The 12824-nt window shown below is 36.8% G+C and overlaps 1 pseudogene; it reads right to left on the reverse strand.

Annotated features, from left to right (window-relative positions):
- Nucleotides 1-7403: 7403 nt before the first annotated feature.
- Nucleotides 7404-8144, reverse strand: MED28P4 (mediator complex subunit 28 pseudogene 4; annotated as a pseudogene).

Here is a 12824-nt window from a genome sequence, read left to right on the forward strand (position 1 = left end):
TGCAGAAGTTTAGCAAGCATTCTGCTGAGTTAGTTTAGTGAGAATCCCTTGAGATCTGATCACTCTCAATATCTGGTCAAATTCCTCATCCTCCATCATGCCCCAGGTGATATATGATCACCCTGGCCTGCCTTCAGCAAGAATCCTGTTAGGTCAGTTTAGCAAGAATTGCCCTACTCTTAGTAATTTTTTGTCCTCCAACCCTCCATGCTGATCCTTGGCTATAAATTCCCACTTTTCCTTGTTGTATTCAGAACCAAGATCGGTTCTAAACCGAGATCTCTGTTTCCTTATTGCAGTCATTCCTGAATAAAATCTGCTTTTATTATGTTGGTGCAAAAGTAATTGTGGTTTTTGCCATTACTTTTAATACTACTTTACTGGCCAGCTCTTGTTCCCTTTAAGAGCACTGTTTTAGCTACATCCCACAGATTTATATGTTGTATCTCCTTTTTTATTTAGTTCAAAATATTTTTTAATCTCCCACGAGTGTGTGGTTTAATTTTCAATATTTGGGAATGTACCAGATATCTTCCTGTTAATGATTTCTAGTTTAATTCCATTATGGTCTGAGAACATACAATGTATGATTTATTTTATTTTCAATTTGTTGCAGCTGATTCTATAGCCCAGATATGGTTTTTCTTGGTGCATTTGAATAGAAAGTATATTTCGCTGTTTCAGTTGGCATGTTCTATACATGGCAATTAGGTCTAATTGTTTGATAGTATTGCTCAAATCTTCTGTAGCCTGGCTATCTCTTTCTTTCTCGGCTTGTCCTCTTCTTTAAAGCCAGATAGTTTGAATTTCTATCCCTGGGTCTGAGAGAGATTTGAAAGTTGGTATCAAGGACGTGGAAGTTGCCTTCTTGACCTCAGAACAGGCCCACCTTGAAAGAGGTTCTGAGAAAACTACTGACTTTTGACTGCTTCTTGCATTATTAATCAATACCTCACATGCACTGGGTACACTGAAAATGTGCTGAATATGGTTGTTTGGTGAAAGTGTTCCTCTTAGGGTCAGTATTTGGTAACTATAATCTGGTAAGAAATGTGAGTTTGTTACTTTATTATGTCTTAGTTTAAAAATATGGAAAAAAATGCAAAATATCAAGATCTTTTTATAGGGTGGGGTGTAGTGCAGGCCATTTTGTTCCTTTTTTTTTTTTTTACAAGTGCCCAACAAAGTTTGTTTCCAGATTTAGCCAGCAATAGATTCTTCAACATTATTGCCTAATAGTAATCTTCTGAGACTTTGGTTTTCCAACATTATGTTATCAAATGTAGTGCTTTTCTGTTAAACCCAAAAGACCACTGCTCTGGTTATCTTGAAAGGCATCACGGCAATAGCTTCTCAGTTAGCTCAGTGCATTTAAGTGTGTGTACCAGCACTAGCAAGAAATAGTCTCTTGTGCCTTAAAATCCAGGCAAATCTGAAAATGTCTGTGGGGAATTGGATGAACATAGCATAGACATAATGGAAGGGATTTTCTTAGCTTTATTTTTAAAAACTGGTTTACCCTAACAGTCAATCCAGGCTCTGGTAACTAATCAGCTTTTTCATCACCACTACCCAGATCCAAGCTTCTATTATCTCTCACTTGAATTCCTGTAGCTTTCTAACCTGTCTCCCGGTTTCACCCTTGCCCCCAAACCCCCTACAGCTTGTTCTCCACACAGAAGCCAGGTGATTTGAAGTCATTCTTCTGCTCAAAACTTGCCAGTGGTTTCCCATCTCAGAGTAAAACCCAAAGATTTTATTATGATCCTCAAGGGCCTGCATGGTCTGATCCCCTGATAACTCTTTGACCTAATCTCCTACCACTGTCTCCCTCAAACTCTTCATTCCAGACTCATTGGCATTTTTGCCATTCCTTGAACTCATCGCACACACTGTTACCTCATGACCTTTGCGCTTGTAATTCCCTCTGTTAAGAAAGTTCTTTTCTTAGATATCCACTTGTTTCATTCTTCATTTTCTTTAGAGAGGTGTTCAAAGGTTACTTTATTAAAAAGGCCTTTTTAAAAATGTTACTTTAAGTTCTGGGATACATGTGCAGAACGTGCCGGTTTGTTACATAGGTATGCGTGTGCCATGGTAGTTTCCTGCACCTATCAACCCATCATCTAGGTTTTAAGCCCCACATGCATTAGGTATTTGTCCTAATGCTCTCGCTCTCCTTGCCCCCCAGCCCCCAACAGGCCCTGGTGTGTGATGTTCCCCTCCCTGTGTCCATATGTTCTCATTGTTCAACTCCCACTTGTGAGTGAGAACATGTGGTGTTTGGTTTTCGTTCTTGTGTCAGTTTGCTTCCAGCTTCAGATGACTTCCAGCTTCATCCATGTCCCTGCAAAGGACATGAACTCATTCTTTTTTATGACTGCATAAAATGAGTTCATTCTTTTTTATGGCTGCATAATATTCCATGATATATATGTGCCACATTTTCTTTATCCAGTGTATCACTGATGGGCATTTGGGTTGGTTCCAAGTCTTTGCTATTGTAAATAGTGCTGCAATAAACATATAGTGCTGCAATAAACATATACCCAAAGGATTATAAATCCTTCTACTATAAGCCCATGTATTTTTTTCATCTGCTGGCAACAATCAGGGTCTTTTGGATTTTTTTTGTTTTTGTTTTTGTTTTTAGATGGAGTCTTGATCTGTTGCCAGGTTGGAGTGGAGTGGTGTGATCTTGGCTCACTACAACCTCCGACTCCCTGGTTCAAGCCATTCTCCTGCCTCAGCCTCCTGAGTACCTGGGATTGCAGGCACGCCCCACCACGCCTAGCTAAGTTTTGTATTTTTAGTAGAGATGGGGTTTCACCATGTTGGCCAGGATGGTCTCCATCTCCTGACCTCGTGATCTGCCCACCTCAGCCTCCCAAACTGCTGAAATTACAGGCATGAGCCACCACACCAGGCCATCTTTTGGAATTTTTAACTGATCTGACCAAACCAACAGAAGAGCTGGTACTGCTATTAATATTAAGCAGGATAGTATACTAAGGAAAGTTGAAGAGTTTTTAAAAATCATATTGTTCCTCCCCAAGGTATTTTGGCGACTTCAAATCCGTATATCAACATACATAATAGAATGCTTTCCCTCTATTTCTTACTAGTCTAGGCCAATGGCAAGAATGATATAATAGTGTGGATATCCAGGAGGCTCACCTGATTTAAGGTCTTACTTATCATTATTGACTCATACAGCTGTAATACAAGGGCAATCAGTAGGTGTAGTGCTTCAACATCTCTATTTAAAAACTGAAAACTATGGTGACTTGTATTAATACTACAAAAAATGACTTGGTAGATTTACTCCCTGAATGCTCTGTTTGCATGAATGTTGCTAATGGGAACAGAGATGCATTAAATATGGGCTTGCAGGTGGTGTCTCATGGGATTGGTAATTAATTCACACAATAAAGCACTAACATACCTTTTCATGGGTAATTACAATACTGAATCACCAATGAAGCCTAGTAATATTTTAAATCTTTTAAGTTACAACCAGATGTGCAAGCTTTGGAATAATTCCTCTCAGTTTCTTACCAACAAATGCATGTTGTTTGTTTTATTAATTTCAATTGAATATTTTTAGTCTAAAATGGAAAGAAGTTGAGTGGCAATAAAATGGTATTCATAAAAATAAGCCACTGCTCATTTTACATTTTTAAGTTAGGGTTTGGTCATCATAAAGCCTGAGCTACTCAGACTCATAACTTCTCTATTACTCTGAACATCTGAAATTTAGCAGTGAAAAGACCCTAAAAAGCAAATACAGGGTTTTCCCCTTAGAAAATTGCAAAAATATGGCCTCTTAGGGGTGTTTCCTCACAATAATTTCCCTTTGAGTTGGGGGAGCCATTTCCCAAGTCTGCCCTCTCTTTCAATGAACATTTACTCGGCCTTTGACCACCCATGAAAGATCACTACCATTCTTTCCCTCTCCTACCCATTGAATTTTATGAGCCCCCATCCTGTTAGAATGGTGTCACTTACATCACATAGATGGATTTGAATATTTTGGGTAAATCTTGTACAGCTGTTTTCAAAGTAGTCAATGTAACTCTTTACTGGGTTACAAAGTCAACATTCAATCATTAAAATATGAAATATAATAGAATATACCAAAGTATATAGTATGCAGTAAAGATAAATATGATTTCAGGAGGGTTTTGTATATGTGTATATATATGTAGGCATACACATACATATATATACACACATACATGCATGCATACAAGTATGTGTCTGCTAAGTCACCATGCATTTAATGCATATTTCTTCCTAATAGTTACGGTCAAAAAGTTTAAAATCATTGCTCTAGAGTAGTTTTCCACAAAATGTGGTCTGGGATGCTTCAAACAGATAGCTGGGCTCCATCTCAGACCTTTTAAGCAGTTCATTTGAACTGTGGTTCAAAGAGTCCTCACCTAATCTGAAAAACTAACCTTTGTTAAAGTGCTAATGAGGAAGGGCTATACTCTGGAACAATTAAATCAGAGTCCCTGGAGCCTTCTCTACAAGATTTCAATGTGCATCCAGGATTGAAAACCACTGGGCTCTACAGTGGTCTTTGGAAACAGATACTAGAGTTCAAAGTCAAGTAGGAAAGAGATAGTAGAATTTGCCTGTGCTGCTTATCTCACTCCATCTATGCCAGTGGTTCTTAGACCTTAGTGTTCATCAGAATCACCTGGAGGGCTTCTTAAAACAGATTGCTGCACCCCACCCCCAGAGTTGTTAATTCCATAAGTTTAGACTAGGGCCCAAGAATTTGCATATCTAACAAATTCCCATGTGATGCTGATTCTGCCAGTCTGAAGACTACATTTTGAGAACCACTGATCTATAAAAGGACTAGCTATATCCAGTTGAAAAGGGTACTTAAGACATAATGTTAACTACAACCAACTAGGATTAACTCTAAATAGCAAGGCTGGTTAAATGCTTGAAAAGTAATGTAGTCTATCACATTAACTGGCTAAAGAAGAAAAGTTGTATGATTATATCAACAAATTCAGAAAAAGCTTTTGACAAAATCCTACATCCACGTATACAGAAACTCTCAGCAAACTTCTTAAGGCAGACGTTTACGTTGTTGATTTGAGATATTTCTTCTTTTTTAGTGTAAGTGTTTACAGCTATAAATTTTCCTCTGAACACATATTTGCTGCCCATGAGTTTTTTTTCCATGTTTTGATTTTAATTCATATCACTGTATTTTCTAATTTTCCTTGTGTTTTGTTCTTGACCCATTGGTTATTAAAGATTATTTTTGTTTAATTTCCTCATATTTGTTAATTTCCCATCTTTTCTTGTTATTGCTTTCTAATTTCATTCCATTATGGTCAGAAAACATACTTTGTATGATTACAACATTTTAAACACATTAACCCTTGTTTTACAGCCTAATATACGATCTATCCTGGAAAACATTCCATGTGCACTTCAGAGGAATATATATTCTGCCATTGTGGGGTAGAATGTTCTATGGTGTCTGTCAGGTCTAGTTGGTTTGTAGTGTTGTTAAGTTTTCCATTTTTTCTGCTAATCTTCTGTCTAGTTGTTCTATCAATCATTAAAAGTAGAGTGTTGGAGTCTCCAACTATTAATGTTGATTTGCCACCTTCTCCCTTCAATTCTGTCAGTTTTTACTTCTGTAATTTGAGGGCTCTGTTGTTAGAACCCTCAAAATTCAGCATATAAGTTTATAATTGCTATATCTTGAATTGATCCTTTTGCCATTATACTATGTCCTCCTTTTTCTCTAGTAACAATTTTGCCTTAAAATCTATTTTGTCTGATATTAGCATGGCCATTCCAGCTCTTTTTTGCTTACTATTTACACGGAATCTTTTGTTCTATCCTTTTATTTTCAACCTTTTTGTATCTTTAAAGTATATCTTTTGTATGCAGCATATAGTTGGATGATGTTTTAAAAACCAGTTCTGCCAATTTATGTCTTTTAATTGGAAAATGTAATATATTTTTTCTAATGTAATGAATAACAAAATAGGATTATGTCTATAATTTTGCTATTTGTTTTCAATGTCTTGTGTTTTTTGTATTCCTCAGTTTCTCCATTACTATCTTCTTTTGTGTTAAATAGAGACATACAGTATCATTTTAATTCACTTGTCATTTCTTTTCCTATATATTTTTGAGCAATTTTTAGTTGTTACCCTGGGTGTTATCAATAATATCTTAATTCATAATAATCTAGTTCAGATTAAGATCAACTTTAATTTCAATAGTATACAAAACTTTGCTCCTAAATAGTATCATTCCCCCCTCCCTTATGTTGTTTTTGTCACAAATTACATCTTCATACATTGTGTGCCCATCAGCTTACATTTATATGTATTGCATTGTGAGTTGTCTTTTGAATCATATATGGGAAAAAAAGTTATGACAAAGAATATGTTTATACTGTCTTTTATATTTAACTATGTAATTATCTTAACTAGTGTTCTTTCTTTTTTTTGAAAACTTGCTATTTATTTGACAAAAAAGCTTTTGAATTTAATAAAGAATTGGCAATACATTAATTCAAAATGTTTTCACTAAGCACCAAATAGAATCGTCCCCAATCTCTGCACCGAGAACCCCTTTGAAAGAATGCCTAAAACTTAATCAGTTTATTTAGGTTTTTAATCAAGAAATCCATTAGCAACAATCTTCCTTAATGGAAAAATGTCTCACCTCCCGTAATGTAAAACAAAAATTATACAAGCAAACAAAACTCAAAACAGAAAGAGATGATCAGAGCAAGCTTCAGCCCCTCATAGCTCACCTATGCCCCAATTGTCACACTGCTGAAAACAGGGTCTGCCTCATTACTTAAACTAATTCATTGCTGCAGAACATAACAACATTTAGCATATCACAGCTCCCACTACATCCCTCCCTGTCAAAAAAGTAAATAAACAGCACACAAAATATAAACTTATGCCAAATAAAAGTCAGCATCAACCTAAGGTTCCTACTGTAATACTACTACACTAACCCAGGATATTTTAATCTTTTTCTGACCTATTTACAAAAAATCCTCATTTTGAGAGCTCTGGAAGCATTACAAATATTGTTGCATTAGATTCCTCTTCTTGAGGTAGTTTGAAGTCTTGAAACAGAGCAAATTTACATATTTTTCTACATTACCACTGAAGGGTAACTATCATAAGAGGCCTACAACAAAAATCCTCTTCCTCTGATTCTCAGGCTATTATAATTTTTCCCTCAGATCAAACAAACAATGGGAAACACACATGAAAAGATGATAAGTCATACAAAAATTTAAAAACAAGCACAACAACCATAAAAAAGAGTCGGTATCATCATACTAACACTCTAAACTTTGCTAGACGAAAAAAGAATTTACTTGGTTTACCCAAGCTATAGACATTTTATAGAGTACTCAAGAAATTAACAGCTTGTAACAATAGTGGAAAAATTTTTGGTGGGAGCAGAAAACTAAAATCAACACCTTCTCTGGCAAAGACTTCTTCCCAAATGCCAAGTCCACAAGAAGGAATGTGTGGCAAAGCTTGCACACCAGCCCTCTCTCAGGCTGACAGCCTTTGCCCTTTGCTCAGGTTGGCTTCAGAGGTGGAGGGATATTGGCAGATGCCTGCTCAAGGTAGGCCAAGGAGCCCTGAGGGATGTCGGCTGGCTTTTGTTCTGCATGTTGATGTCCTTTAGCACCTGCTGCCAATGCCTCAGCTTTGTCAAATGCTTCTGGACCAGTGCATCTTAATGTTGTAATTCATTCCATAGTTCTGAGATATCCTCTTTGATAACTTGCTCTGGTTTCTGGACAGATAATTGCAATCTTTTTTTAGGAAAAACAAAACAAAGCAAACATTGTCTCTCTTGCAGTATCCGGAAACTTCTGGATACACTGATTAACACCAGTTTGAATTTCTTCCTGATCAGTGCCATTGATATAGTCCTGACTCACCAGAGATACAAAGCAAGCCTTGAAAGATGACTCCAAGTCAACCACCAAAGTACTATTAGAAGGGCTTGGAGCACCTGAGAAGTGAAGCCTAGCCTAGGAGTCCTGTCAGGGGTGGTCGGGCCCCTGGTGGCTGCCCAGAGAACATACTACCTAGTGGAGCTGCCTGTTTGGAGTGACAGGGTCTTTATTTCCTCAAGTAAGTTAGGTGTAAATCCTAGGTATTGTCTAGTGTCCTTTCAGAAGTTCCTTTAGCATTTCTTCTTCTTTCTTCTTCTTCTTTTTTTTTTCTTTCTTTTTTTTTTTTTTTTTTTTGTTTTTGTTTTTTTGAGACGAGGTCTCACTCTGTTGCCCAAGCTGGTCTCTAACTCCTGAGCTTAAGCGATCCTCCCACCTCAGCCACCCAAAGTGCTGGGATTACAAGAGTGAGCCACGTGCCTGGCCAATATTTCTTTAGTGCAGGTTTGCTAGTGGCAAACTCTCAGTTTTTATTTATCTGGGACTGTCTTAATTACTCCTACGTTTTTTTAATTATGGTTTTGCTACAAATAGGAATTTTGGTTTATAATTTTTCTTTCAGTGCTTTGAATATGTTTTGTGGCCTCTGTGGTTTCTGATGAGTTCATCTTATTGAGGATCACTTGTATGTGATGAGTGGTTGCTCTCTTGCTCCTTTCAAGGTTCTCTCTTTTCTCTGGCTTTCAATAGTTTAATTATAATGTTTGTAGGTGTGGGTCTCTTTGAGCTTATTCTACTTGAAGTTTGTTGGCTTCTTGGATGCACAGATTAATGTTTTAAAACCATTTTGAAAAGCTTGGGGCCATTATTTATTCAAATATGTTTCTATTTCTTTCTCTTTCTTCTTTCCTCCTGGCCCTCCCATTATGCATATATTGGTATGCTTCATGATATCCCACATCATAGAGCAGGTCTCTGAGACTCTGCTCATTTTTCTTCATTCTTTTTTTTTATCACTATACCTCAGAATGGATAATTTTCATTGATCTCTCTCTTTCTTTTTTTTAATTCCCAACTTTTATTTTAAGTTCTGGGGTACATGTGCAGGATGCGCTGGTTTGTTACATAGGGAAACGTGTGCCATGGTGGTTTGATGCACAGATCAGCCCATCACCCAGGTATTAAGCCCAGCATCCATTAGCTATTCTTCCTGATGCTCTCCCTACCCCCATTCCCCACCCTCCAACAGGCCCCGTTTTGTGGTGTTCTCCCCATGTGTCCATGTGTTCTCATCATTCAGTTTCCACTTATAAGTGAGAACACACAGTATTTGGTTTTCTGTTTCTGCATTAGTTTGCTAAGGATAATGTAATCGCACTTTATGTTCTTTGATTGTTTCTTCTGCCTGCTCAGATCTGCTATTAGTTCCCCTAGTGATTATTTCCTGTCAGTTATTGTAATTTTTAAGCTCCAGAATTTCTATTTGGTTTCTTTTTATTATTCCTGTCTCTTTTTATTTTCTATTTGGTGAGACAACTTTCTCATATTTTCCTTTAGTTCTTCAGGCATGTTTTCCTTTGGCTCTTTGAAAATATTTAAAATAGCCATTTTGAAGTCTACCTGGTAAGTCCAATGTCTGGATTTCCTCAGTGACAGCTTCTATTGGTTGCTTATTTTCCTGTGTGTGGGCCATACTTCCTTGTTTCTTTGCACATCTTCTAATTCTTTTGTTGAAAACTGGACATTTCAAAGAATACAATGCGAGAACTCTGAAAATCAGTCCCTTACCCTCCCAGGGTTTCTTGTTGCTGCTTTAAGTAGCTGTTTAATTACTTTTTATGAAGTAATGTTGTAAATTCTTTATCTTTGCATTTGTGGCCACTAAAGTCTCCACTTACTTGGCTTAGTGGTCAGATAATGATTAAACAGCATTTTTCTTAAATGCCTAGAACCAAAAAGTCTTCAAGTCTTCCAGTCATAGGGGCCCCGTATGTGTGTGTTGGGGCATGCCTTCAACACTCTACCAATCAGTTTACAACTCTGTTTCAGCCTTCACTTCCTGCTTGTGCAGAGCCTTATGTTCAGTCAGAGATGAACGATTACAGTCATTGTAAGTCTCTCCTGAGCTTCTGAAAAGCCCTACACACATTTGTGACCTTTTAGATTCCCAAGAATATGTTGAAACTTTTCAAAACCCCTACAAGCATCTCATTCCTCAGCTTTTTCTCTTAAGCTTTCTGGCTGGTTTATTGTTTGCCTTAACTGCTATCCATCACTTCAGGCAACTGTGATGTTAAAACATTTGAGAAATGCCCCTCCACCATCTGGGTAGAAATGTTTAGCATTAGGAGAGTTTCAGTGAGCTCTAATAATGACAAGCCTTTCAAGTTGTATCTTCCAAGGAGCCATTTGGTGGTGACTCCTATTTCTGAGTGAAGCTTTGAAAGATCTCTAGCTCTGCTCTACTTTCTCTAGTACTGGGAAGGCAGTCTGTTATTTTTCATGGTGGTGTGGAGCATGGAAACAGAGGACAGGACTAGTGTAAGTGTAAATGCCATAAAGCTTACTGTTTTTATTGAGATGCAGCTGTTTTTCTTGACTAAACACTTCCCATGTGGCTAAAGCCGTTGGTTAGTTTCCAGAGTACTGAACAAGTTGATTTTAACAATTTTGGTTAGTTTTCACATTGCTTTTATGGAGGAGCAAAATTTCAGAGTTCCTTACTCCAGCATTTTCACTGATGTTATCCCCTCATTATTTTTTGACATTTCATCTTATAATGGAAAATCATTTTTTTTAAAGCAGTGAATAAGTTACCTATTTGTGCTTCTTATTTGTTTGTTTTGGTAACCCAGCTGTGGGCTAGAATGTCTTTGTCAGTGAAAATCTTTATTTTAGAAGCCAAACACGATAAGCCATATTATTATTCTTTTAAATGTTCTCACTGAATAAGAAACAAAATTAAGAAAAATTTTAAAGTATGAATCACCATTTCTAGAACCATATATACAAAGAATCATAAATATACACAATGTTTTAAAGAAGGTAAGTTATATAGTTAAAAAAAGAAATTCTGCCGTGAAGAATTTAGATTCTATATGGTGCTGAATTGCAACACATAAGCTATATTCCAAGTAAAAATTAAGACTGACACAACAATGAACCAAATTGTATTTCACCTTTCTTTGAAGATGCTATAAGTTTAGAATAATGTGTCAACTTTCCCTAACTTGGACTTCTTTTATTACTTTTTAAAGTTAATCTAAAACATACCAGTTTTGTTCTTGATCTGAGTTTTAGACTACTTCCACATTCTGTATATTCTTCCTAAAGGAAATTATAAAAACTTTTATGAAAATTTACCTGCAATAGGTTTATAAAGAAACTAATTAAAATGCAATTGAAATTTGAGTTACTTTTAACATAAACTATCTATGAATTTCTCACAAAGTGTTTACATAATGACATAATTATGAACAGATCAAAAGCGAGATGTGGGTTTGATTTCAAAATCTTGTATAGTTTGTCAGAATATGGAAATGTGTGTGTGTTTGTGTGTGTGTGTGTGTGTGTGTGTGTGTATGTTTTAAAAGATGGCTTGCCTTATTCAGTATTTCACCATACTTTCTATTTCCAATTAACAGTAAAGGAAGAGTTGGCTTAAAATTGATCAGATTAGTGGCATATGGGTGGGATTCTGGAAGCATCCAAATATTCACATGAAAAATAAATGCAAACCCTGGAGGGAAATATGCCTTCTTGCATGGAGAACTTGGCCACATGTCATAGCTAGAACCTGTGAGAGACAAAATGTACAGGGTGCACTACATTTGTATCCTCTGTACTTTTAGCATTGCCACAACGTGATTCTTTCTGTGCAAAATGGTGACAGGAATTCCACTGCCAATGTCTAGATATCAGATGATAATAGAAGCTCTGAGGACAATCCCTGAGTCTTTTATCCTCAGATTTTAGAGCCAGACATTGTCTTCATATGTCAGTTTGGGGAGTCTAGAATTTTTATTCTAGCCTATTTGGTAAATAGGTGTTTTACTTCACAGAAGAAACAGAGGAAGTGTTCTGATTATGATGGTTAAAAAATCCAAAATGTACTGGGCCCTTCTGCATGCAAAGCAAGTCATTAAGTCATCATACAGTGAGTTAACATTCACAGCCATAGTCCTCCAGACACTTCAAGTATGAAGTAGACAGCATTGCCATGGTTACGCATAAAGGGGATCTGCACAAAGCAAGCCCATTGCATGGCATTATGTGCATACTGTGGGGTAGCGCAGAAGGCAATTAGGAGGCTGTATGTTGAGAAGATGTGGGAATATGAAAATATGCCTTGTCATAGAATTGTGCTGGCTTTCTAACTCAGTGTATGAGCTCTGATGCAGTTTCATTTCTTAATGGTTCAAGGCATAATTAAGCTGAATTCTGACTATACAGAGACTCCGAATCATTGGCTTATTCAAGTATCAAATATTAATTGAGTACCCACCATGTGCCAGGAATGGTTCATGGTGAAACCACTGGGCATTGGGAAAACAGCTGACAAAGCATTTCCCTCCCAGTGAATGCTATATTTAAAAGTTCTCTTCACATTACAAGAAGCAGGTTATGCAGGTGAAATTTGTAATTGAAGAATAATAGAATTTATTTATTAATGCATACTACTATGTTGCTCCTCTTCCACCCTGTCAACATGGACCGTGAAGAATGCATAGCATTTAGATAGATAGACAGGGAAAGCCTTTCTTATGACAGGAACAGCACGAGTAAAGGCATAAAGGCAGGACTAAATAGAAAACAGTGAGGAACACACATTCCTTAAAACAAAATAAGTGGAAGGTCTTGGCTCTCTGATAAGTAAATGGGCTGTTTCTTGCAGGAATTT

This window comes from Homo sapiens, chromosome X (assembly GCF_000001405.40).
Source record: "Homo sapiens chromosome X, GRCh38.p14 Primary Assembly".
Lineage (NCBI taxonomy): Eukaryota > Metazoa > Chordata > Mammalia > Primates > Hominidae > Homo > Homo sapiens.